This window comes from Homo sapiens, chromosome 15 (genome assembly GCF_000001405.40).
Source record: "Homo sapiens chromosome 15, GRCh38.p14 Primary Assembly".
Taxonomy (NCBI): domain Eukaryota; kingdom Metazoa; phylum Chordata; class Mammalia; order Primates; family Hominidae; genus Homo; species Homo sapiens.
The window spans coordinates 101,400,389-101,428,182 of NC_000015.10; the positions used below are offsets into that span (position 1 = coordinate 101,400,389).

A 27,794-nucleotide genomic window follows, 5' to 3' on the forward strand; every position below is an offset into this window, starting at 1 on the left:
AGGGGTTCCCCACCTTACCCATACTAGTCTGCGCCTGTTTGTTCTACATTCCAGAATCTACATCAACACGTAGTGCATACTCAAAAGCAGCAACTTTAAATATGACTGACTTTAAAAAACAAAATAGTGAAGTTTTCCCTGAGGTTAAAAGAGGTGGTGCAGGACTCATGCAGAAGAGCAACAGGAAGGAGACCCTGGAGGTGACACCCTCCCTAGGTGCTCAGGGACAAACATTTTACGTGAGTAGAATCCTGCTGTCCCATCCATTTGTACGATAATCATGGGTGTGCTCTTTTGATGGAAACTGCTGGGCAGAGATCCCTAACACATACATTTCAAATGTTCTTGTCCTATCATCTTTCACCCAGTAGCACATGGATTATAAACATATAACCAAATGTACTTCTTCACTTGCCAGGGTAAGAAGCTTCCAACCTAAAAGGAATTTGAAGATGATTTCGCTGCAGTAAATTCTTCCATTCCATCCATTCATTCTACCCAGTTTTGAAGGTTCAGGTTTCCCTAAGGTTTTCCCCTTAATATATGCCCTGAAATTTCCCAGGCATGAAGCAAGACAGAGAATACAAGAGTCACCAAAGGCAGTTCTTGGGAGGCCAGGTAGGATAGTTGGTGGTGGGAGAGGGAGGACCACTCTAGGGCTCGGCATGTTGACCTTAACACTTAGGTGGGACACCAAGCTTAACTGGAAACTTCTGCTCCAAAAGCCTGGAATTGTATTCAAAATCAATGTCAGAGAAATTTACACCAAGGCAATAGCAAGGTTGAGGCATAGGAGACATCAGAAGTTCAACAACAGTGCTAGAGACATTCGGCAGTGTCAGCCACGTGGGCGTGGGCAGCGATGGAGGATGGGGCTGAAGTCACGGGAAGAGCCATCTCTTCATAGCTTGAAAGCCTACTATGAGCAGTAGGAATAAATGTAACTTCAGTGTTATCTATCTTCTCTTCTCACTCCACCTGTTTCCCTTCCTCTCTTTCCTACCTCAGCGAGCTGGCTGCAGGACGGCCCAGGGTAGCCACCAGTGTCCAGGCACTGAGATGGCACAAGGCAAGTGGACTTAGATGCCTCGACGCCTGCTCCCAAGGGGAGGTCCACAGAGTGGAGCTGTCACTCACAGTGAGCCTCGGAGCCAGCAGGAGGGACGTGGGGCATGCCACAGGTGAAGACCTTGCCTTCACCATCAACTGTGACCAGGTAGTGACTCTGAAGTTCTCCCGTCTCGCTGAGCCTCAGTCTTCTGCACACTGCAATGATGACACTTATCATATGTAGAGGGATGTCAAACAAATGAAATCGGATGATCCGTGTAAAGGGTCTGGCACACAGTAAGCATTCAACGTGTGTGTTTGCTGCTAGTTTGACCCCACTGAGCCTCAGTTTTCCCATCTGTAAAAATGGAGGTAGTATCAATATTGTGAAAATGGCCATACTGCCCAAGGTAATTTATAGATTCAATGCCATCCCCATCAAGCTACCAATGACTTTCTTCACAGAATTGGAAAAAACTACTTTAAAGTTCATATGGAACCAAAAAAGAGCCCACATTGCCAAGTCAATCCTAAGCCAAAAGAACAAAGCTGGAGGCATCACGCTACCTGACTTCAAACTATACGACAAGGCTACAGTAACCAAAACAGCATGGTACTGGTACCAAAACAGAGATATAGATCAATGGAACAGAACAGAGCCCTCAGAAATAATGCCACATATCTACAACTATCTGATCTTTGACAAACCTGAGAAAAACAAGCAATGGGGAAAGGATTCCCTATTTAATAAATGGTGCTGGGAAAACTGGCTAGCCATATGTAGAAAGCTGAAACTGGATCCCTTCCTTAGACCTTATACAAAAGTTAATTCAAGATGGATTAAAGACTTAAACGTTAGACCTAAAACCAGAAAAACCCTAGAAGAAAACCTAGGCATTACCATTCAGGACATAGGCATGGGCAAGGACTTCATGTCTAAAACACCAAAAGCAATGGCACCAAAAGACAAAATTGACAAATGGGATCTAATTAAACTAAAGAGCTTCTGCACAGCAAAAGAAACTACCATCAGAGTGAACAGGCAACCTACAAAACGGGAGAAAATTTTCGCAACCTACTCATCTGACAAAGGGCTAGTATCCAGAATCTACAATGAACTCAAACAAATTTACAAGAAAGAAACAAACAACCCCATCAAAAAGTGGGCAAAGGATATGAACAGACACTTCTCAAAAGAAGACATTTATGCAGCCAAAAGACACATGAAAAAATGCTCATCATCACTGGTCATCAGAGAAATCCAAAACAAAACCACAATGAGATATCATCTCACACCAGTTAGAATGGCAATCATTAAAAAGTCAGGAAACAACAGGTGCTGGAGAGGATGTGGAGAAATAGGAACACTTTTACACTGTTGGTGGGACTGTAAACTAGTTCAACCATTGTGGAAGACAGTGTGGCGATTCCTCAGGGATCTAGAACTAGAAATACCATTTGACCCAGCCATCCCATTACTGGGTATATACCCAAAGGACTATAAATCATGCTGCTATAAAGACACACGCACACATATGTTTATTGTGGCACTATTCACAATAGCAAAGACTTGGAACCAACCCAAATGTCCAACAATGATAGACTGGATTAAGAAAGTGTGGCACATATACGCCATGGAATACTATGCAGCCATAAAAAATGATGAGTTCATGTCCTTTGTAGGGACATGGATGAAACTGGAAATCATCATTCTCAGTAAACTATCGCAAGGACAAAAAACCAAACACCGCATGTTCTCACTCATAGGTGGGAATTGAACAATGAGAACACATGGACACAGGAAGGGGAACATCACACTCTGGGGACTGTTGTGGGGTGGGGGGAGGGGGGAGGGATAGCATTAGGAGATATACCTAATGCTAAATGACCAGTTAATGGGTGCAGCACACCAGCATGGCACATGTACACATATGTAACTAACCTGCACATTGTGCACATGTACCCTAAAACTTAAAGTATAATAATAATTAAAAAAAAAGAGAGAGAAAAAAAAATGGAGGTAGTAACAATAACTGATTGGTTTTTCTTTTTGTTTTCTAAAAACACATGACTTGATAAGCACAAAAGATTGTATGTCACATACACGTTAGTTATAAAGCCTAATAAAAAAACGGATACCCATGAACCCTGCAGCCCAATGCAAGAACAAGAACGTGACCCACTGGGGGCCTCTACTTCTGTGTCCTCCCTGTCACCCCCAGCTTCTCAGAGGAAAATGATCAGAATTTTTGGATTATTCATGCCATTGCCTTTATTTATTTATTTATTTATTTATTTTGAGATGGCGTCTCGCTCTGTTGCCCAGGTTGGAGGACAGTGGCGCCATTTCGGCTCACTGCAACCTCCGCCTCCCGGGTTCAAGTGATTCTCCTGCCTCAGCCAACCAAGTAGCTGGGATTACAGGCGCCCGCCACCACACACGGCTAATTTTTGTGCTTTTTAGTAGAAACGGGGTTTCACCACGTTGGCCAGGCTGGTCTTGAACTCCTGACTTCAGGTGATCCGCCCACCTCGCAGGCCATTGCTTTTTAAATACTACTAGTTTAATACAATTGTATATATGCTTAAGTGATACATTGTTTAATTTTGCTTGTACTGAGAATTAATCCTTTGTTGGTAATGCAGGTTATAAAAATCTTCTCCCAGTGTATGCCTGGTCTTCTCACTGTGTTTATGGTAGCTCTAGACAAACAGAGGTTCTTAATTTTAATAGAGCAAGAGCTCACCTCCCTGTGAAGATCAAAGGAGTCGTAACAGGGGCCAACCTTCTCTGGGTTTCTGGGTTTGCTGGCATCTATTGTAAGTTCCTTTCCCCCTTTTATAGGCAGGGCAGAGCCACCTCTAGGCCCAGCTCACATGGGCTGTGGCATCAGCTCACTGTATTTTGTCCTTTCTGGGTGGAGAGGAGGGGTCGGGTGGACATGAAGTGGGGTCTTTCCCAAATCTGTGGTCCATGTGCCTGCCATCCCATCTCCATGGCTGTGTCAGGGACACTGGGCCCAAGTGTCCAGCTCTCTCAGCCAGGAACCTCCAAGAGAAGGGTCAGGGCCAGGCCCAGTGCAAGAGGCTGGCAAGATCGTGGCCGCCGGCAAGATACAGAGCAGCTCACGGTAGGGGAAGAGAGTGGGGTCAGAGAGTCCTGGGGTGTAATCTCGCTTCCACATGACCTTGGGCCATGGTCTCAACCTCTCTAAATCATGTTTCTTACAATTTTTATCTACCGGGGCAGTTAAGAAGATTAACGAAAAGCTAAGTTGAGGCCCTGGCCCCGGAACTGCTGGATAAATGGCAGCAGGGTTCTCTTTGCCCTTACTTTCAGCCATGGATCTCCAGGGCAGGAGACCTCACTGGCCACCCGGGGGTCAAGACCAATTCTGATGCTCTAAGTGGTGAAGCTGATCCTGTTCTAGGATTCTCTCTACAAGTTATAGGTGTTGAAATGCCTATTTTTGAACAAGAAGAACGGGATGCCAGAAGACATCCAAAAATACATAAAAACATATGACCAGAATGATTTCCCAACACCTCTCACCATGCTTTTCATCTTGGAAAAAGACTGACTGATGTGTGGGAAAGCAAGCATCACGCGCTTAGATCTTAATGAAGCATCTATTTTCCCCAACACTGACAAGTTGCCAACAAAGAAAAGGTAAATATTTTCAGTAGAAGCCTGCTGTTCCAACATGAGCTTTAAATGTGAATGGCTCTCTGGAAATGCCAAGGAGAAGAAAAACAGTAATGATTTCTCTAATGAGAAAAGAAAGGCCCATTTACTATAAAATGTCAGGTATAAATTTGATTTGGGCAAATTGTTTTGATGGCATTGATGGCAATGAACTCCCCATGGTCAGCTTGCTAACGGACTGCTTTTGGGCATGCTGGGTTCAGAGCACAGCGTGGCACAATGAACCCGCCTGCCCAGTCCACTCTAAGGACGAGTCTGTGGGTGTGAGGCGGGAGGAGTGTTGAGTGGAAGGAAGATGGTTGCTTTGGAGAACCTGGTGCCTTTGTGTTTGAGGGAAGAACTCGGGGTGCTATGGGAACCAATCCCCCCACTGACAATTGCAGCTGCCCACAGAAGCTCCATCCAGGAAGGAATCACACCAGTTTGCCTTGCTTTAAATAATACGTGCATTCCTATAAAATCTCCTAAACCCAATAATATTTTAAATGCCCTGGGAGAACTTGATGAAATGAATGATTTTACAACTCACTTAGTGAAGCTAAAAAAAAAAACAAAGCCACTTTTTTTCCGTAGTGACCTGTCTTTCCTCCATTTCCCCTGCTTCTAATTTTTTTTTTCAGACAGAGTCTCCCTCTGTCGCCCAGGCTGGAGTGCAGTGGCGTGATCTCAGCTCACTGCAACCTCGCCTCCCAGGTTCGAGCGATTCTCCTGCCTCAGCCACTGGAGTAGCTGGGATTACAGGCACACACCACCACGCCTGGCTAATTTTTATATTTTTAGTAGAGATGGGGCTTCGCCATGCTGGCCAGGCTGGTCTCAAACCCCTGACCTCAAGTGATCTGCCCACCTCGGCCTCCCAAAGTGCTGGGATTACAGGTATGAACCACCGTACCCGGCCGCCTGCTTCTAATTTATATCTCGACTTTCCAAATAGCAGGTTTGTATAAGGCAAGGTGAACCTATCAACATGCAGCCGGCCCCAGTCAGCACGAGACACAGCATTTCCCCTGAAAACTTTCTAGGAAGCTCAACATTAAGAGCAATGGGAAGAACACACCCACAAGCCCACACACCCACACACACACACGCACACATGCACATCAATACAAGTCAGCCCTCCTGCCCGGGGGGATAACGGCTGGAGGAAGGCAGGGAGCGGGACACGCTGGGCCCACTTTTGTTTATTGAGAAGTAATGTATTTTGCCTTCAGCGAATGAATGGCAATGCAGAAGCAATGAACAGGAGCAAATAAAATTAGACTGTCGCTTCCTGAGTGTGACAAATAGGCCTCCCCAACACATTTTGCTCATTAGCCCTGGGTTTATTTTAGTAAGTCCACAGAGAATTATGTTTTGTTTTTGTTTTGTTTTTTTCAGTAAAACTATAGCACATTCTGTTCTATGAGCAGCCATTCCGGGCCAAGTAAGGTTTCAACAGTTACTTAGAAATGCTACAATCCTAAAAGGTTTCTGTCAACCCTCATTATCACCTAAGACAATAGACACGGCTTTCAAATTGCTAACTATGCCCCCACAGGACAGCCTTGTTCTAGGAGCTCCAGGGAGCTGTGGTCTGCCGAGTTGTCAAGGCAGACCTACGTTCGCCATCGTGACATGAAGTGTGTGGGGACGCGCGGGGGATCACCAAGCCAAATCTCTTCCTGCTTCCTGTTCTGTTCCTGATGCCCTGATGGAGCCACTCCACCTCCTTCTACAGTGGAAACACAGCTGTAGCCAGCGACGCTCCTTATGGGCATGTCCTGCATGCAGCCCTGGATCCAGGAGATGAGGTCTGTCCCAGGTCAGGTCCCGTGATAACTGAGACTGGTTCCCCAGTCTGTGGTCCATGTGTCTGGCGTCCCATCTCCACAGCTGTGTCACGGACACAGGTGCGCAGCTCTCTCAGCCAGCGACCTCCAAGAGAAGGGCCGTGACCAGCGTGGGAGGCTGGCAGTGTGGTGTGGCAAGGGTATGGCCCCTGGCAAGATACAGAGCAGCTCATGGTAGGGGGAAGACAGCTGGGGTCAGAGAGTCCTGGAGCGGAATGTCGGCTCTGCATGACCTTGGGCCATAGTCTCAGCCTCTCTAAATCATGTTTTCTACAATATTTATCTGCCAAGGCAGTTGAGAAGATTAATGAAAAGCTAAGTTGAGGCCCTGGCCCTGGTACTGCGTCTGGGATAACTTTGGTATCATCCATCTTCTCCCCTTCCTCTTGTATTTTCAGTATCTGATGCTTTGACATCTGGGGCTTGCTGACCCTGGGGAGACTGTTCCTTCAGGCGCTACCCAGGGTCTCGGGATAGTAAACTACCCATCAGGAGTGTGCTTTTCACATGCAAGCCAACCAATCCAGAGTCTACACCCCAGCCACCTCCATCATGGGCTCTCACACACCAGGTCACTACTCCCTTAACCTAACCACCCAAGGCCAGGTGTCAGGCAGCTAGGGACAGCCCCTATTCCCCTGAGTCTGCTGAAATTATTCAGCCTAGCTGATTCTGAACTTGCCTTCTCTGCCTCACCCACTCCTTCCCACAGAAACCACCACAAGGCCTCTGGCCCGTGTCTTCCCCTCTCTCCTGCCTCCTGACAGAACCCGCTGCTTCTCTGTGTGGCCCCACATACGGTACTGGGACGCATCCTCTTGGGAACTGGAACAAACCACCTTTTCAATGCATGGCAGTGGTCTCCTCATCTGCTGGCCTTGCCAAACCTAAATAATACCGAAAATGATTGTACATATTTAAACAGGTCTCTCTTTGATAATCGGGTCCTGTTGATTCTTCAAAGAACAATACAAAACCTGGAAAAGCCTTAGCCATGGTCTAGAGGTTTGACATCGAGGCTGACCCTTTCACGGTCTCCCCGCTAGGGAATGAGGGCTGGAGAACAGAAGTGCATGGCCCAGGCACACACAGGAAGCCAGTGAGAGCCGGCAGCTTGGGATGCAGGACAGGACAGCAGGCTTCTGAGCCAGATGGAGCACCCGTACATCTGCACCACACGCAAGTACGGCAAGGAACCCTAGAGGAGGCGCACGTGCCAAGAAAGCAAACCCATATCCTGAACGGACCTCTGAAGGGGACACGGACGGCGAAAAGGAGACGTTCATGCCGCCATGAACAAAGGCCACCCAGGAGCTTGTTTCTAAGACTCAGCGTGCTCTCTTCCTGTCTCTCTGCTTCTTTCTTATGTACACCCAGGAAGAAAGCCCCTCAGCAGCCCTCTCAGGAACCCAGGGCTATGCAGCCCACAGCATTCGAGAGCTAGCCTCACCCATTCTCTGCGGGTGTCTGCAGCAGGGCGGCCTGAGGAGGGCATGGCCACCAGGGAGACACAGGGCAGAAGGGGCTATGCCAGTTCTTGCCCATCTCCTCCTTCCTATGGCTCCTGCTTAGCCTGGCGATGCTCAGATCTAGCAGGCAGGGGCCTTGGATGTGTTGGGGGAGGTGAGGGACGAGGAAGTGGGGAACACCCGCTCCCTGACAGCAGCAGCTCCTAACATTCACCAAATCCCCCCAAGCCCCCCAGTGCATTTAAAATCCTCTTGCAGTTGAAAATGCGCTGGGAACCTTTGAAGATTAATCTACAGCTTAAACTGTTCTCTTAAAATGCTCACAGGCCTAAACTGCTTAATGGAAACACTAACGAGACTGAATTCTGTGACTCAGAATTAACATAATTAACCAATTTATGGGCATGGATTAATTTAGCTGTTATGTACTTAACATTTTCGTGTTTATGAAAGGAAAAACATGATTCAGTTCCCCAATCAAAATATGGAGCAAAAACACCAACAGGAATCTGGTCGCTGCCGTTTACTTTTCCTTCCCAGAAACAGGGCAAACATGGTCTGAAAAGATGCACCTATATCCGGGGGCCGGAGCAGGGGAGCTTTTCTGTTTGTCAGGTGGGAGGGCTCCCTGCGGTCTCCAGCTGCCCTTGCTGCAGGCCCCAAATGCAGCCTACTCCAGACCAGCCTCAGGGATCCTGCCCTGTGGACTGGCGATGCTTCTGAAAAGCAGGGAGGCTGAGCGCGGGGGCTCATGCCTGTAATCCCAGCACTTTGGGCGGCCGAGGCGGGCGGATCACGAGGTCAGGAGATCGAGACCATCCTGGCCAACATGGTGAAACCCTGTCTCTATTAAAAATACAAGGCCAGGCGCAGTGGCTCACGCCTGTAATCCCAGCACTTTGGGCGGCCGAGGCGGGCGGATCACGAGGTCAGGAGATCGAGACCATCCTGGCTAACACAGTGAAACCCCGTCTCTACTAAAAAGGCAGAAAATTAGCCGGGCGCGGTGGCGGGCGCCTGTAGTCCCAGCTACTCGGGAGGCTGAGGCAGGAGAATGGCGTGAACCCGGGAGGCGGAGCTTGCAGTGAGCCGAGATCGTGCCACTGCACTCCAGCCTGGGCGACAGAGTAAGACTCCGTCTCAAAAAAAAAAAAAAAATGCAGGGAAAGTGTACCATAATGCAGTGTCCCTCATGACACCCCTCCTGCCTTAGGAAAGTGTCTGAATCTGGTTAAGTATCAGCACACGTGAGGAACTTGCTAAAGGGTAGAAGCCTGGTAAAGTTAAAGGGGTGAGGGCTCCACTCACCTCCCCTGCATATTGCAAGCCTCCCTGAGAGAGCAGGTTCCACTCCGGCCAAGCCAGCACACCTGGCTCCCCAGCAAGCTTTTCTCAAAGGATGCCGCATGGGGCACGAAGCCAGGAGGACCTGGTGCAGTGGATGGGATCACATCCTCAGCCTGCATTCTGGGAGGGGCCTTCACACTTTTTTGTTTGTTTGTTTTTTTGAGTTTGAGTCTTGCTCTGTTGCCCAGGCTGGAGTGCAGTGCCACAATCATTGCTCACTGCAGCTTCAAACATCTAGGCTTAAGAGATCTTCCTGCCTCAGCCTCCTGAGTGGCTGGGATTACAGGCATAAGCCACCATGCCTGGCTAATTTTTAAATTGTTTGTAGACACAGGGTCTCACTATGTTGTTGAGGCTGGTTTCAAACTCCTGGCCTCAAGTGATCCTCCTGCCTTGGCCTCCCAAACTGCAGGGATTTTGTGTGAGCCACTGTGCTTGGCCAGGGCCTTTAGAATTCTGCAGGCCCCAGCAGGAAGGGCTTGCCATGAAGCTCAGCCTGCACTCACCTTGGAGGTGAGCTGATGGCAGTGGAGGCAGCCAAGTCTGGAGCCCCCCACCACCAATGCCACCCTGAAGCAGAAGGGCTGGGAGGGAAGGAGCATTAGAGAGAGAGAGAAGGAGAACTATGTGCCAGGTCAAAATTAAAAAGACAAAAAGGTGAACAGAGCAAGAGAGCAAAGAAAGGATGAATAAGAAGAGGGGCTAGGAAATGCCTGCTGCCCTCTCTCGCTCCCTCCTGTGCTGTTCCCATTATCATACCTTTTTAGGCCAGGAGGAAGAGGCGAGGCCAAAATATGCTTGGAAGGAATCAGAATTCAGTCAAGAAGTATACAGTTATACACTGCGAAGGCTTCCCCTTCTGCTTCTGTTTCTGGCCACTGGGCTTGGTGGCAGCTGTTCTCATCTGGTCACCGCGATGTCCTAGCATCAGAAGGCTATGATTGCAAAGGTGGAATCCAGGCTTCAGGGCAACAGGCCTGAGCTCAAGCCTCTGCGCTGCCTCTTGGCAGCTGTGTGAACCCAGATGTGGCAATTCATCTCTCTGTTAGTCTCCCCTGGTGGGAAACGGCCATGATCATGTCCAGCGCACAGAGGCACACTAAGAACTGGATGCAAAGATGACTACAAGTGCTTGGCAACCAACAGCAATCGGCAAGAGGTGTCACCATCTGCACCACAGTGAAAAGACTCAAGAGACCCAACCCAGGAGGAAGACTGAGCACGCAGCCTACCTCTCCCCAGGGCCTGGATCCCTAGGAATAAAACTTAGAACGAACAAATCTGAACCAGCCTTGGGAAACAAGATCAGCACAGACGAGCTGTCTTGAGGCACTGAGGAAAGACGGGAAGCAGAGGGCATCAGGTAGCAGCAGGAGGCGGGGTCCTGGCGCGAGGACTTCTGAGTGGGGAACAATTCCAGAGCTGAGGAAGGTGCCAGGCTGGGCGTGCAAGGACAGGAGGAGCCCCAAACAGGCCTCGGAGTAAGGAGCTAGGGTGGCAGGTCTCAGCCTCCAGGCTGAGTGGGGACAGCAGCAGAGTCATCTTGAGGCTGGTGCAGTGAGACAGGGTCCTAAGGCCAGAGCACCAGGACGATGCCCTGGGAGCGGGGAGTCCGCCTCGCACCCTTCTCAGAAGAAATGCTATCAAGCAACAGCTCCCTCCACTCCACATCACAGAAAGACCCCTGCCGTCAGACCAGACAACCACCCACAGCCACATGGGGATCTGTGAGCACATGCAGGGGTGGACGACCAAGAAGCAGCCCATGTTTGAGGAAAACCCATCCCAAGAAAGAGGGGCACCCAATTAAAAAGCAACATGAACAAGAACAGAGGGACCCGACGAGACAGGGCCAATAGAACAAATGGAAAAAACCATACACAATAAGTAGGCCAAATACCACAGCAAGGAACCGTGGTACCACCCCGACCTATGGCAGCACAGCCTGAGTGGCGAGCCTAGACCTCCACCCATGCGAGGACGAAATGAGGTGCCCGACCTCACTGCTGGGGCATGTCAGGAAACAGCAGGTAGGAAGCAGCGCTTTTACCTCCAGCAACCTCAAAAGGGGCCCACTTGCATGGTGCCAGCAGATACCATGCCATGAGCCTGGTCTTCCAACCACACCCAGCAGTAACAACGTGTCCCCTCCATCCCCTGGAGTTGTGTCAGGATGCCTGGTGGAGAGTCAGGAGGCTCACTGCTGCTCACAGTAATGAGGGGACCTGCACTGTGGGGTCATGGGAGGCACACAGGGAGTGGGAACCACTGCCCCTTCTCAGCACTGATAAGGAGACTTCCCACGCTTGGGTATCAGCGGAGGCTGAATGGGGGCCCTGGACAACCTACCCCTGACAATAATGAAATGGTACCCCTTGTCCTCTGCAGCAACAGGGCCAGAGAAGCCAGCTGAAACAGAAGGCTGAAGTCAGGTATAGCCTCATAACATAATGCAAAAATGTACAGGTTTCAAAGGAATATCACATGTCATTCCAAGAACGAATAGGAAGATCTCAAATGCATAAAGACAGACAATCACCGATGCCAACATGGAGGAAACGGATGCTGGAACCATCTGACAGACATTTTATTCATTTTCTTCCTCTTTTTAGGTTTACCTTTTAAAATTATTTTTAATTTTTAAGGATATACTAGTTGTATATTAATAAAGATTTTAAAGAGGCCATGAAAAAAACACCTAGGTGAGCAATTACAAATATGCCTAAAACAAATGAAAAAATAGAAAGTCTCAATAAAGAAACTGAAAGTCTCAGCAAAGAAATACACGATATAAAGAGGAACCAAGTAGAATTATTAGAACTGGAAATACAATAATCAAAAAGCTCAGTGATGGGCTCAGTAATAGAACCCACAGGACAGAAGAAAGAGTGAACTGGAAAATTATATATATATATATATATATAAAATTACCCAATCTGAACAACATAAAGAAAAAAATTTAAAAATATGAACAGAGCATTAGGGACTTGTGAGACTATAACAAAGACCTAAACTTCATGTCACTAGAGTGGACAGGAGGAGAGGAAAAAGGGCCAGGAGTGGTGGCTCACACCTGTAATCCCAGCCCTTTGGGAGGCCAAGGCCGGAGGATTGCTTGTGCCCAGGAGTTCGAGGTTACAGTGAGCTATGACTGCCCCACTGCACTCCAGCCTGAGCAACACAGCGAGACCCTGTCTCTAATAATGGAGGAGGAGTGAGGAGGAGGAGGAGGAGGAGGAGGAGGAGGAGGAGGAAAAAAAGTAGTGGGGGCTGGAAAAGTTCTCGAAGAAATAATGGCTAAACGCTCTCCAAATTTGGCAAGAGATATAAACCTACAGATTCACCAAGTTTACTTTCAAGTTTTCTAAATTACATTTGATGGTTGAAGCAAAAATTACAACACTGTCTGATGTGGTTCTAAATGAATGTATGTTTAATATGTATGTATATTACAAATATAAATGGGAGAGAATAATGGGATATAAAGGAAGGTAAGGTTTCTGTACCTCACGCTGGTAAAGTGACAACACCCATAAAATTGATTGTGAGAAGTTACATGTGCATAATGTAATACCAAGGGTAGCCACTAAAAAAGCTATACAAGAAGACATACTCAAAAACATTATAAACCAAGTGAGATTTTAAAAAGTGTTCAAGTAACCCACAGGAAGGCAGGAAAAAAAAAACAGAGAAACTAAATACAGAGGAAAATAATAGAGAAGTTAAAATGGCAGACTTAACCCCTAATGTATCAATAATTACATTAAATATTAACCATCTAAATATAGTAACTAAAAGAGATTGGCAAGTGAATCTAAAAACATGGCCCACGTTTGACAGCAGACCGGGGGGCTACAGTTAGCAACAATATGTTAAATATTTCAGTGTAGAAGAGAGGACTTGAAATGTTACCAACACATAGACATGATAAACACCCAAGATGACGGATACCCCAAATGCCTTGACTTGATCATTCTGCATTCCATGCATGTAGAAAACATTCACAGGTACCTCTTAAATATGTGAAATGTCATTTATCAATAAAAGAAAAAAGAGGCAATTTCTACTGTATTGTACTCTTCAAATTAATAAAAATTTTTATAAAAGAAAAATAAATTTTAAAAAATGGCCCAAATATATGTTATCTACAGGAGACTCAATTCAAATATAACAATATAGGCAAGTTGAAAGTAAAAGGATGGAAAAACGTATACTGTACAACCATTAATCAAAGGAAAGTAGAAGTAGCTATATTAATATCAGATAAAGTAGACTTCAGAGCAAAAAAATTCACCTGAGACAAAGAGACGCCCCTTGTCAGCAACACTGAATACCAAAGACCATGGGGTAATACCTTTTAAATTATGAGTGAAAATTATCTTGAACTTAAAGTCAAAACCTAGCCAAATTTGTAGGGAGAAAATAATGACATTTTTAGACTTCAAGGACTCAGAAAATTTACTATCTATATAACCATTCATACCTATAGCAAGCACTCAAAATATCTTTTAAGAGAATGAATAATTTAATAGATGAGAAAATCTAGTAAAATAAAAAAATCACATACAAAGATGTAAGAAAAAAGAAACAATGGTGACCAAAGAAATTAATTAGACTTTATACTTAAGCTCACACAATTGTTGATGCATGATGTAAACTTGTTAAAAATAATATGGAGTTAAATTTTTGAATTATCCCAATTCAAGGAGGTGACGACAGACAGAAGATGGCAGAGGAGTGGAGCTATGGTAAGTTTCTTATGTTGCTCAGGTGAAAGAGTTAAGTACTGATTAGCGCTAAACACTGTAGAGAAACATAAGTCCCAATAACTGTGTTTAAAGAGTAACAGAAAAACAGATTTAGAATGTAAAAATTTCAACCCATTAGAATGAAAGAAAAGAGAAGAAACTACATCTAACCAGCAAAAGGCAGGTAAAGACAGATTGGTAGACAGATGGACGGACAGATGGATGGATGGATGGATGGATGAATAGATAAAAACAAATACAATAGAAATAAATCCAAAGATATCTGAAATCAGCACATGTATGAATATAACAAAGTCCTTCTTTAAAGAGACTCTTCAATTGTGTTAAAATATAAATCCAGATACATGCTGCTTATAAAACCAACATTAGAAATAAAGAATATATGAGAAGAAGGATGATAAAATAAATTCGCAAGTGTGCTACTTTTATCAATCAAAGTACAGGTGTTATATCAGCCAAAGTACAATTAAAGGGCAAAAATGAGATAGAGAGGATTTTATATTGATGAAGATTCATTATACCTTGTAATGTACCTTGTAAATAGCTATAAAATGTGTACAGCGAAAACGGAAAGAAACTGACACATCCATAATCATCATGGAAACCAGCATTCCTTCTCAGAAACAGATCAGGTAGACAAAAAGTAAGAAAGACTCCAGAACTTCTGAATGAACTTGATAGAACACACAGGTGATAGAGGCTGATGCCTAAAGGTATCAGGCAGGCAGGGTAAATGGCTGAAGCAGCCAGGTCTGTGAAGGCCACCCGGGGACGGGTAGACTGCCCTTTGAGTTAGGAGCAATCGTAGCCGACTGTTGCCATTAAGGAATGAGGGCCCAGCACAGCCAGAGCTTCTAAGCTTTCATAGAAAGCCCCAAATCCATATTTTTACATAAAATACTGTGATTTGTAAATGTTTACTCAAGTTTTCAAAAATACACTTGTGTGAGTCAAACAAAACATGTCTGCAGGCCAAAGGCAGCTTATGGGCTACCAGTTGCAATCCCTAATCTGATACAGATTTTTTTTACTCAATGAGCATAGAATAAAAATACTCTTCAAACACTGATATGGTTTGGCTGTGTCCCCACCCAAATCTCAACTAGAATTGAATCTCCCAGAATTCCCACATGTTGTGGGAGGGACTCAGGGGGAGGTAATTGAATCATGGGTGCCAGTCTTTCCTGTGCTATTTTTGTGATAGAGAGTAAGTCTCATGAGATCTGACAGGTTTATCACGGGTTTCTGCTTTTGCTTCCTCCTCATTTTTCTCTTGCCACCACCATATAAGAAGTGGCTTTCGCCTCCCACCATGATTCTGAGGCCTTCCCAGCCACGTGGAACTGTAAGTCCAATTAAATCTCTTTTTCTTCCCAGTCTCGGGAATGTCTTCATCAGCAGCATGAAAATGGACTAATACAGTAAATTGGTGCCCATAGAGTGGGCATTGCTGAAAAGATACCCCAAAATGTGGAAGCAACTTTGGAACTGGGTAACAGGCAGAGGCTGGAACAGTTTGGAGGGCTCAGAAGAAGACAGGAAAATGTGGGAAAGTTTGGAACCTCCTAGAGATTTGTTGAATGGCTTTGACAAAAATGCTGATAGTGATATGAACAGTAAGGTCCATGGTCAGGTGGTCTCAGATGGAGATGAGGAACTCATTGGGAACTGGAGCAAAGGTGACTCTTGTTATGTTTTAGCAAAGAGACTGGCAGAATTTTGCCCCTGCCCCAGAGATCTGTGGAACTTTGAACTTGAGAAAGATGATTTAGAGTATCTGGCAGAAGAAATTTCTAAGTAGCAAAGCATTTAAAAGGTGACTTGGGTGCTGTTAAAGCCATTCTGTTTTAAAAGGGAAGCAGAGCATAAAAGTTCAGAAAATCTGCAGCCTGATGATGCAGTAGAAAAGAAAATCCCATTTTCTGAGGAGAAATTCAAGCCGGCTGCAGAAATCTGCATAAGTAACAAGGAATCTAACATTAATCCCCAAGACCATGGGAAAATGTCTCCAGGCCATGTCAGAGACCTTCACAGCAGCCCCTCCCATCAGAGGCCCAGAGGCCCAGGAGGAAAAAGTGGTTTCATGGGCCACGCCCAGGGTCCTCGTACTGTATGCAGCCTAAGGACTTGGTGCACTGTGTCCTAGCCACGTCAGTCGTGGCTGAAAGGAGCCAACGTACAGCTTGGGCTGTGGCTTCAGAGGGTGGGAGCCCCAAGCTTTGGCAACTTCCACTTGTGTGTTGAGCCTGCAGGTGCACAGAAGTCAAGAACTGAGGTTTGGGAACCTCCACCTAGATTTCAGAAGCTGTAGGGAAACACCTGGATGCCCAGGCAGAACTTTGCTGCAGGGGTGGGGCCCTCATGAAGAACCTCTGCTAGGGCAGTGCAGAAGGGAATTGTGGGGTCAGAACCCCCACAAAGAGTCCCTACTGGGGTACTGCCTAGTGGACCTGTGAGAAGAGGGCCACCATCCTCCAGACCCCAGAATAGTAGATCCACTGGCAGCTTGTACCATGTGCCTGGAAAAGCTACTATATTATATTATATCCTGTGCTATTCTCGTGATAGTGAATAAGTCTTATGAGATCTGATGGGTTTATCAGGGGTTTCTGCTTTTGCTTCCTCCTCATTTTTCTCTTGCCACCGCCATGTTAAGAAGTGCCTTTCACCTCCCACCATGATTCTGACGCCTCCCCAGCCATGTGGAACTATAAGTTCAATTAAATTTCTTTTTGTTCCCAGTCTTGGGTATGTCTTTATCAGCAGTGTGAAAACGGACTAATGCAAACACCCATTGGCATATTCACAAAAACTGAACGTGTATTAGGACACAAAGATATTCTCCAGAAATTCCAAAAGGCAGAAAATATACAGAACATTCTGTGAACCCAATATAAGAAACTTAAAAATTAACAACAAAAGGAGCATCAGAAAATCTACGCAGTTGAAAAATTTTATAAATCTCTTCTAAATAACTCCTGGGTTAAAGAGAAAAATCTAAGCTGAAACGTACAATTATTCAGAAATATATAGCAAGAAAAGCACCATATAATTAAACTAGTAAGAGGTGATGAAAGGAGAATGTATGATTATTTATTTATTTATTAGAACACATAAAATCCTGAAAATAAAGAACTAAATACACATTCCATTCAAGGAATTAGAACACAGCAACAACAAATTTAAAAGCTGAAGGAATTAATAAATAAGTAAAAGCAGAAATTTATGATGCAGAAAATAAAGGAACTCAATTAAAAAAAACCTAGTTCTCTGCAAAAGCCTGTTTTTTTTTATTTTTACGTACACTATTTTTTATAATTTTAACTTTTACTTTAGATTCAGGGGTTATATGTGCAAATTTATTACATGGGTATATTGTATGACACTGAGGTGAAAAAACCTATTTTATTAAAAATAGAAATTTTTCATCAATCAAGGAAAAAAGAGGAGATGTCACAAATAAGATTAGAAACAATTATAACTATAAACATGGAGGATGTACTTTTAAATTACGAGCATATGATATTGAATTTATGTCATATATTTGAAAATCTTGAAAAATTGATGATTTTCTAGGAAGATTTAATTACAAAAATCTCCTCAAGAAGAAACAGAAAACCTGAATAGGTCTAGTCCTTTTGAAAGTCACCATATCCAATCAGACTAGTTAATCAGCTCTACCAACACTTCAGAAATCAGGCACTATCCACAATATATTAACTATTTCAGAGCACAGGAAAAGAAAGTTTCCTAACTCTTTCTACGAGACTGGCCTGACTCTGATAAACAAGTTAGAGAGAAACATCACAAAACACAGAAACTGTGATTCTATCCATTTTATAAATGAAGTTGTAAAACCATAAGAAGACATCAGCAGTTGAATGCAGATGTATCAAAACAACAATACTCATGAGCAAATGGAACTTATTTCAAAAATGAAAGAAAAAGTTTCCAATTTAGGATTTTTTTTTTTTTTTTTTTGAGGCAAAGTCTTACAGGGCTGCAGTGCAGTGGTGTCATCTCGACTCACTGCAGCCTTTGTCTCCCAGGTTCAAGCGATTCTCCTGCCTCAGCCTCCCGAGTAGCTGGGATTACAGGTGCCTGCCACCATGCCCAGCTAATTTTTGTATTTTTAGTACAAACAGGGTTTCAACATTTTGGCCAGGCCGGTCTCGAGCTCCCGACATCAGGTGATCCACCCACTTTGACCTCCCAAAGTGCTGGGATTACAGGCGTGAGCCACTGTGCCTAGCCCAGTTTAGGAAATCTATTAATGTAACTTATTACACTACACAGATTAAACAATAAAGTTGAAAAACAATATAATAATCTCAATAGATACTTTTAAATATTCAACATCCATTCCTGATTAAATCTCTTAGAAATCTAGGAATATAATAAAATTTTCTCAACTTGATAAAGGGTAACTACAGGGAAGACATTTACAAATGGCATAAAATTAGAAGTATTCCTGTATAAGTCAGAAATCAAACAGAACCTATAAACCACCACTATTCAATATTCATCAGGAACTGCTACATATTCAAATAAGGCAAGAAAAAGAGAGTTATTAATATTAAAGAGATAAAACCACCATTATATTTACAGATAGCTATTATTTAACATCTCTCCAGAAAAGCCAAGAGAATCCAACGGAAAAACAACAGCACCCACAGAGATCAATAAGGTGACCAGAAACAAAACCCAACATACAAAAATCAATAGCTTTCCTATATCCGTTTCAATAATGACCAATTAGAAATACAAATTTTTAAAAAATCTAGATATATATCTAATAAGAAATGTATAAAATCGATATGGAGAAAGTGATAAAACTTTAAAAAACAATGTAAAAGAAGACCTGAATAAATAAAAACATACCATGCTCCTGGGTGGGAAGACTCAATATTGTAAAGATGTCATTCTCCCCCAATTAATCTATAATTTCCAAGCAATCCCAATCAAAATCCCAACAGGGCTTTTTTTTTTTTAATGGAACTTGACAAGCAGATTCTCAAGTTCATCTGAAAGAGAAAATGTGCAAGAATAGCCAAGTAATTTTTGAAAAGGAACCATAAGAGAAAATTTGCCCTATCAGTTACCAAAAAAACAAAAACAAAACCCCAAAACTCTCCTAAACTGACTGTAATAATTCAAAGCGTGGTATTGTTAGGGCTTATGAAGGAACTGACTAAGGAAACGTAAGGGCAGACCCAGTGTCCATATGGGGATCTAGGATGTGATGAGGGCCACGTGTGGCAATCACCAAATATTGATTTGGGGGGATCTCTCTTTCACACTACTCACAGAAATAAATTCCATATGGATCAAAAAGCTGAACAGAAAGGCTGGTTGTAGTGGCTCACACCTGTAATCCCAGTACTTTGGGCAGCTGAGGCAGGTGGATCACCTGAGGTCAGGAGTCCGAGATCAGCCTGGCCAACATAGTGAAACACCGTCTTTACATAAAAAATACAAAAAAATTAGCCAGGCATGGTGGTGGGCACCTGTAATCCCAGGTACTCGGGAGGCTGAGGCAGGAGAATTGCTTGAACCCAGGAGGTGGAGGTTGCAGTGAGCTGAGATCATGCTACTGCACTCCAGCCTGGGTGACAGAGTGAGATTCTGTCTCAAAAAAAAAAAAAAAAAGCTAAACAGGAAAGAGAAAACCATAAAAATTTTAAGACCAATTATTGTCCTAAAACTAAGTTTTTAGAGGAAATACAAAACAGGTTTACTATCTTGGGCAAGATCCCAAACTCAAGAGTCATGAAGGAAGATGAACAAATGTGACATCATAAGAACTTTACTTTGTTTTTTTGAGACAGGGTCTCACTCTGTCACCCAGCTGGAGTATAATGACGCAATCATGGCTCACTGCGGCCTCGACCTCCTAGGCTTATGTGGTCCTCTCACCTCAGCCTCCCAAGTAGCTGGGACTACAAGCACATGCCACCATGCCCGGCTAAATTTTTCAAAATTTTTTGTAGAGACAGGGTATCACTATGTTGACCAGGTTGGTCTCAAATTTCTGGGCTCAAAAGGTCTTCCTGCCTCAACCCCCAAAGTGCTGGGATTACAAGTGTGAACCACTATGCCCAGCCCATAAAAACTTTAAACAGATTTTTATTAAAAAATTATATATGAAAAGGGGGCACAAATCATCAATGTACAGCTTGACAACTTAATATAAAATTAAAGTCTCTCTAAAATGAAAGACATCAGGGACCAGTGACCGCACAGGGGTACCCCACTCTCCTCTCTGGAAACAATGAAGATGGCACATGCCTCTGTGGATTCCTGACAGTGTAAAATTTCTCCCCAGGGTAGGTGCTAATGCACCTGAAGGCAACACACCTAGGGAAACTGGGGGTTGAAGGAGTTTTGTTTCTTTTTTATTATTTTTGAGATGGAGTCTCGCTCTGTTGCCCAGGCTGGAGTGCAGTGGCACGATCTTGGCTCACTGAAACCTCCACCTTACAGGTTCAAGCAATTCTCCTGCCTCAGCCTCCCAAGTAGCTGGGACTACAGGCCCCTACCACCACATCCAGCTGATTTTTATATTTTTAGTAGAGACAGGGTTTCACCATGTTGGCAGGCTGTTCGGGAACTCCTGACCTCAGGTGATCTGCTCACCTCCGCCTCTCAAAGTGCTGGGATTACAGGCATGAGCCACCACGCCTGGCTATTTCTTAAGATATAATTTGGACAGTTCCTGTTTCTTTCAGTTGATTTAATTATTTTTATGTGACAACATTTATAAGGAATGTGCAGTTTTACAAAGAAAATTGGTTAAACTATGTCCACAGGTTTTTTGACACCTTTCTACTCAAAAGGTGCGACCAAATTTCTTTCCCCTTGAGTGTATTGTTAAACTTAGTGATCCATTTCTAATGCACAGAGTATGGCTGAAGAGATGGTACATGACTTCTGAGATGAGGTCATAAAAGACATTGCTGGTTTGGTTTTGCTTTTTCTCTTGAATCACTTGTTATAAAGAAAGCCAGCTACCATGTTATGGGGACACTCAAGCAACCCTCTGGAAAGGTACACACAGTGAGGAATCAGGGACTCCAGCCAACAGCCCCATAAGTAACCCATCTTGGAAGTGAATCCTCCAGACTCAGTCAAGTCTTCAGACTACAATCACAGCCAACAGCTTGACTGGAACTTCACCAGTGACCCTGAATCAGAAACATTCAGCAAAGCCACTATCTGTGCTGGAAAACAAGTGTTTGTTGTTTTAAGCAGCTGCATTTTTAGAATGACTGCCACTCAGCAATAGATAACTAATACACAATCTAATTGATAACTATAAACCACAAGTTTTAAGTTCAACAATGACAGAGTTGCTTATATCAGACTAACTCTTCTTATTAAAGATAATAATTATAAACTCTGAAAAAATATTTACTTAGAAAAAATTAACTTTTTAAGACCACTGAAGAACAACCAGAAAAGGGCAGAGGTAGGCAGGGGGTTCAATTCTTGACAAACCATACTGGGTATGCTCCAAGTTGACATGACTTTTCCTCTTGAGGGAACTTTCCATTTCTTTTGGTGCAGAGAGGCTAGAACTCAAATACTGAAGTACAGTAAAATGTCATCTTATTCTCCAGAGGAGTCAGGGGATAGAGTTGGGACTGTCAGAGCTGCTGGAAATTGAGAGGAGAAATTTCAGAAAGGAGAGATCTACAGAAGAGAACATATAAACTCCTCACAACCACTTGGCTGAACCCTGAAGTATACATGGGCAACCCACTAAGAAGTCCAGTAGGAAAACAGCAGCTGAGAGGCTGGAGGAGCTGAGCAGGTATTTCAGCTGCTGCCCACTACAGGGCAGTCCATCTGGAGTTTCAGACTTGCTAAGTTAGAGGTCTGGGTTTAAACATTTCAGGCTTTCCACTGAAATACCAAAAGGGTCATGGTCTAGGAGTAAAGACCATATGCTAGGGCTAATGGATTTTCCCTAAGGCTATGCGAAAATCAGAAAGATAGCAAACATTAAAAAAAAGAATAATCAGGTCTCCACAAGCTCACATTTAACCAACTGCTAGAACGAAACTTTTTTTTTTTTTTTGAGACGGAGTCTCGCTCTGTCGCCCAGGCTGGAGTGCAGTTGGCGCGATCTCAGCTCACTGCAAGCTCTGCCTCCCGGGTTCACGCCATTCTCCTGCCTCAGCCTCCCAAGTAGCTGGGACTGCAGGCGCCCGCCACCGCGCCCGGCTAATTTTTTGCATTTTTAGTAGAGATGGGGTTTCACTGTGTTAGCCAGGATGGTCTCAATCTCCTGATCTCGGGATCCACCCGCCTCAGCCTCCCACAGTGCTGGGATTACAGGCGTGAGCCACCGCGCCTGGCCAAGAAAGAAACTTAATGATATTCAAAGACAACAGAATCCAGAGTCTCTACAATGTAACAATATCTACCATACAATAAAAAATTACTAGACATATGCAAAGAAAGAGAAATACATGACCCACTGTAAAGAGAAAAATCAGTCATTATAAACATACTCCTAAAATGGCCTAGATGTTGGAATTAAGTGCAAAAGACTTTAAAGTATTTCTTACAAACATGTTAAAGAGTCTAGAATAAAAGATAGATATCATGACTGAAGAGATGGAGACACATGAGGGATTCGGAAACAGTAAAAAAAGAGTCAAATGGAAATCATAAGACAGAAAAGTAAATATCTGAATTTTTTTTTTTTTTTTTTGAGATGGAGTCTTGCTCTGTCACCCAGGCTGGAATGCAGTGGTATGATCTCAGCTCACTGCAACCTCCGCCTCCCAGGTCTAAGCCAATTCTCTTGCCTCAGCCTCCTGAGTAGCTGGGATTACAGGCATGTGCCACCACACCTGGCTGATTTTTTGTATTTTTAGTAGAGACGGGGTTTTAGCATGTTGGCCAGTCTGGTCTTGAACTCCTGATCTCAGGTGATCCACTCACCTCAGCCACCCAAACTGCTGAGATTACAGGTGTGAGCCACCATGCCCAGCCCTGAAATTTTTTTTAAAGACCAGACTGAACACAACAAAAGGAAGGATTAGTTAACTTGAAGTTCAATAAAAATCATTCCATTCGAAGCAGAGAAAAAAGGGTTAAAAAAATGAACAGTGCCTCAGTAACCTGTGAGGCGTATTAAGCAATCTAACAACTATAACTGTGCCCACAGAGAGTAGAAAGAAAATGGAACTTAAAAAAATTTGAAGAAATATTGACAATTTTTTTTCCAAATTTTCTTTAAAAAGAATAACCCACTAAGAAGCACAGAAAACCCAAGATGGAATTAATACGAAGAAAACTACATAAAAGAATGTTAGAGCCACAGGCAAAGCACAGATATTTTTAAAAATAACATTATGAAAGCAGCTACAGGGAAGGGCCATGGTGGCTCATGCCTGTAATCCCAGCACTTTGGGAGGCTGAGGTGGGAGGATCGCTTGAGGCCAGGAGTTTGAGTCCAGCCTGGGCAACACAGCAGTATCTCATCCTACAAGGAAAAAGGTGTGTGTTTTTTTTAATTAGCTGGGAAAGGTTGTGTTCACCTGCAGTCCCAGATACTTGGGAGGCTCGGGTGGGAGGATCACTTGAGGCCAGGAGTTTAAGGCTGCAGTGAGCTATGATTATGCCACTGCACTCCAACCTGGGTGACAGAGCAAGACCCCATCTCTTCAAAAAAAAAAAAAGGAGCCATAGGAACAAATCACGTTTCTTAAAAGGGAACAACAATAAGGATGGCAATTAACAATCGACTCATCGTCGGAAACAATGGATACCAGAAGACAACAGAATAACACCTTTAAAGTGTTGAAAGACAAAAAAAAAGTTAGAAGGTCGTGTTCAGCATAATTTCTTTTAAGAAAAATGAAGAGAAGCCACTTTCAGATAAAATTGGAGAGAATTTTTCACTAGCATACCTGAACCTCAACAAATACCAAAAGAGGTGAGAGATAACCTCAATAAATACCAAAGAGCCTGGCGACAGGCTGAAGATAAATGGAAAGATGGAAATCTGAAGCTAGAAAAAGTAAGGAAGACCAGTCAGTGGAATGGTACACAGGCAGGTAAATGTATTTCTTGTCATAAGTAGTTTGCGGTCAACTACATGTTTAAAACAAGAAATGCACTGTGGGTTTATAACATGTGAAGTAGAATCTATAAAAACAACAGCACAAACAATGACAGTGATGGTGAATGGAAACAATCTTAGATTTACACATTATATAGAAAGTACACTATTAATTCCAGATAGACTGGGATAAGTTGGGATATGCATGATAACAGGGATATTTTTTAATTAACGCATTGAATATGGTTGAGCACATGCTGCATGTATAATACTGGATATGCCGCTGACAGAGAGACGAAAGAGATGAGGGTCACAGTTCTGGGCCTCTAGGAGCTCAGCATGTCTTTGGAGGGAACCAACAAGGAAGATGGCACAGAACCACCTATTGAAGTTAAAGGGGCAGGTAGGAGCCCCAGGGGTGGCAGAGCAGGCACCCCATGAGAGCAGGGCATGAGGGTGTGGCTGAGCTTGACACGGCAGGACTTGACTACCCGTGAGAGTGCTGAGGAGACAATTACGTCTGCGGCGTGGGGCTGGGGTGAGCAGGCCACATAAAGATCGAGGACATGAGGTGGAGCTCACACCTCTCTGGAAGGTAGGTGTGGGGTTGAGGCTGGCCTTGACCCAAGGATCCAGTGATAGCCACTGGCTCCAAAGCTGCTGCAAACAGCTTTAGCCTCTCCACACAGGCAGCCAACCCGCTTCCTCCTGGTTCTCCCTCCAAGCCCACCTCTGGGTGAGGTGCTCTAACACAGCTCCCTCTCTGTGTGTGCTGGCACACAACAGGGAATTTCCCTGGGATGTCCCTGGAGCTGACCATAGAGCTCTTCCTTTTCATGTCTTTATTGTTAGTTGTCACTCAAGAGACTATAATGCATATCCTAACTTATCCCAGTCTATCTGGAATTAATAGTATACTATTTTCTGTATAATGTATAAATCTAAGATAGAGCGTTTCCATTCACCATGACTGTTACCATTCCTGCTGTTGTTTATATACATATATATATATATTGCTTCATACGTTATAAACCCACAGTGCATTGCTATTATTCTTGTTTTAAACACATGCCAAATTCTATCCCTACATTTTCCAGATCTGGAGGGAGCACCTTCACTTGCAGGACTCGGGAAACGTAGGGAAAGAGTTTGGCGATGAGTGTAGAGCTATCTAACGGTAATGCTGTATTTACTGTGCACCTCATCTGGGAGGATCTTTATGCATGTTACTTCCACTGACTCCTCCCCGCAATCCATGATGCAGGTGTTACCTACCTGTGAGACCCCAGGGAGTCCTCTAAACCAGCGCTTCTCACATTGTGACGTGGAGACAAATCCCCTGCGATCTTGTTATAATGCAAACCCTGACTCCGTAGGCCTGGGGTGGGGATTCTGCATTTCTAACGGCTCCCAGAGGATGCCATGCTCAAAGTCTAGGGACTTGGGGGAGCAAGGCTCAAGCAACTCCAAAGGTGGGGTCCACCCCTCACTCAAAGCAACACAAATGGTTTTTATTCTCCCACTGAGAGTCTCAGCAAGAGGGAAGGAGGAGCTCAGCTATCCCCTGCAGACTTAGCCCAAGCCGATGGTTTCACACATGGTATCTGACTTCATCCTCATAACAAAACTGGGGAGGCAGCTGCCTGGTGGTCATTTCACCCCACAGGTAAAGAAACCTTGGCTCAGAGAGGTTATGTAAGTTGTTCAAGGACACACAGACAGTGAGTGGTGGGAATGGAACTGGCACCCAGGTTGGCCCGATTCTACAGATCCTGGAGAGACGTCTCAGGGCTCTGCACCCATCATCAAAGGCTCCAGGGAGAACTTATATATCTCAGTTTGCAAGAACTATCCACAAAGGAGCCAGGCCAGTTGACAGAGTCTCCTGATTTGTTCTGCAGAACGCGCCCTTGGGGGTTAATTCTGCTATAAAATGAAAATCCAAGCCACCTTCAAGATTTCCACGGGAAAAGGCAGGCAGAGTCCTAATTAAGTAAAAGCTAAGGACCCTCTTTTCGAAACACAAGAAATTCCCCCAAGGACTGGTGATCCAGGGAACCGTGGCCCAACCTCCCTGCCTGGTACTGCTCATAAGTGGAGCCAAAGCGGCTGCAGCCACCCTCACCAAGGCTCGGTGGCAGAACGGCAGAAAGTGGCTGCAGCCACCCTCACCAAGGCTCGGTGGCAGAACGGCAGAAAGCGGCTGCAGGCACCCTCACCAAGGCTCAGTGGCAGGATGGCAGTGCCCCCCCGGGAAGGTGGTTTCCCACTGCAGCCACCTGAGTGAGCAGGAGCACCTTCGGACTGAGAAGCAGACAGGCCTCCTGGGTGAGGCCGCAGTCCCTGGAGGCCCTCTGGCACTCCTCTCTGCTGCCCCCACTTGCTCAGTTCCCGGGTCAGTGACATGCACCTAGAGGGGCCTTCAGAGCACTTGGGTGACTGAGCTGTCACACTGCCGGGCTCCCGTGGGGAATAGGAAGACATTCAATACTTTACTCCAAAGCCTCATCCTAGCAAGGGCAGCTTGACTGAGCAGTGTGAGAAGCTAAATGGCAAGACCAGACGCACGCGGGGCAGGGGCGGCTGCTGCTCCGTAAAGGGACCAAGAAGAGCTGATTCCCTGGTGAATGAGACGGGGGACAGCTGGATCCAGGGAGCACTTCACAGAACAGAGCAGGCATGAGGCTGCCATAAGGCACAGGTGGACAGAGCCAAGTGGAAAGACGGGGGAGGCGGGGATGGGAATGGTTCAAGCCCAGGCATCAATCGGGAAGACCAGATGTGTCTAAGGGGCACTATGAAAAATGTCCTCTAAGGTCAGAGCAGGGGCAGGAGAAGTGGGCCAGCAGGCTTGAGTGGGAGTCAGAACCCAGGGAAAGCTCTGGTCCCGGGTAAAAGCTGTCACTCTGTCTGGGAAGTGACGGAGCCACTGAGGGCTATGGGCAGCGGGGAATCAACGCAGACTTCTAGGAGTCAGCAGCCAGGCCAGCAGGACCAGAGGAGAGAGGGTACCTTTCTGATGGGAACTGCAATGGCTTTTCAGGCAAAACAGTAAGCAGTTCCTCTGTCTTGAGGCCCCAATCCCTGTGGGTCAGCTGCCTGGGCCATGATACAGACGGCACTGCTGCGTCTGGCCCAGGGGTCTGCTGACATGGCCAAAGCCAAAAAACAGGAGGCTGCTGAGACCAGCGGACAGGGAGCTCCCAGCTGCCCCTGCCCCAGGCCCCTCGGCTCGCAGGCTGCCACGCCCGGCCTTACCTCCTATTTTGGCATTGTACGCTATGCCCACGATGCAGTAGGAATTGTTTGCTGAAGCAGCAACTTCTCCCGCACAACGAGTGCCGTGTCTGAAACAAAGGAAAAAACCAAGTGAGGACGCAGCCCAGCAAGTTTCAGTGAATTCAGTGCCTGGCTCAGTTCAATGCAACAAGAGAGTCAGTTGTCCGAAGCCCAGAGATGTCATTAAAGCCCATTTCCTGCATCCCCTCTCATCACCAACCCCACTCTGGGAGAAGGCACCAAGTCAGCCTGGGTACAGCCCTTCCTGGC

The 27,794-nt window shown here is 45.0% G+C and overlaps 1 protein-coding gene across 7 annotated transcripts in view, besides 2 other annotated features; it reads right to left on the reverse strand.

Moving 5' to 3' along the window:
* The window catches only part of PCSK6 (proprotein convertase subtilisin/kexin type 6), a 185,775-nt gene that overhangs the window by 96,456 nt on the left and 61,525 nt on the right, over nt 1-27,794 (reverse strand). For all 7 annotated transcript variants that reach the window (NM_001291309.2, NM_138319.4, NM_002570.5 and 4 more), the window contains exon 6: nt 27,504-27,592. In NM_001291309.2, the coding sequence (NP_001278238.1) occupies nt 27,504-27,592 (89 nt within the window). The remainder of the gene's footprint in view (nt 1-27,503; nt 27,593-27,794) is intronic.
* Nucleotides 11,208-12,024: an enhancer, noted in NCBI's record as "H3K27ac-H3K4me1 hESC enhancer chr15:101951801-101952617 (GRCh37/hg19 assembly coordinates)". NCBI's record gives its function as "activates a minimal SCP1, AML or CMV promoter by ChIP-STARR-seq in primed H9 embryonic stem cells {active_cell/tissue: H9 hESC(primed)}" and the evidence as "EXISTENCE:reporter gene assay evidence [ECO:0000049][PMID:30033119]".
* Nucleotides 25,931-26,521: an enhancer, noted in NCBI's record as "H3K4me1 hESC enhancer chr15:101966524-101967114 (GRCh37/hg19 assembly coordinates)". NCBI's record gives its function as "activates a minimal SCP1, AML or CMV promoter by ChIP-STARR-seq in naive H9 embryonic stem cells {active_cell/tissue: H9 hESC(naive)}" and the evidence as "EXISTENCE:reporter gene assay evidence [ECO:0000049][PMID:30033119]".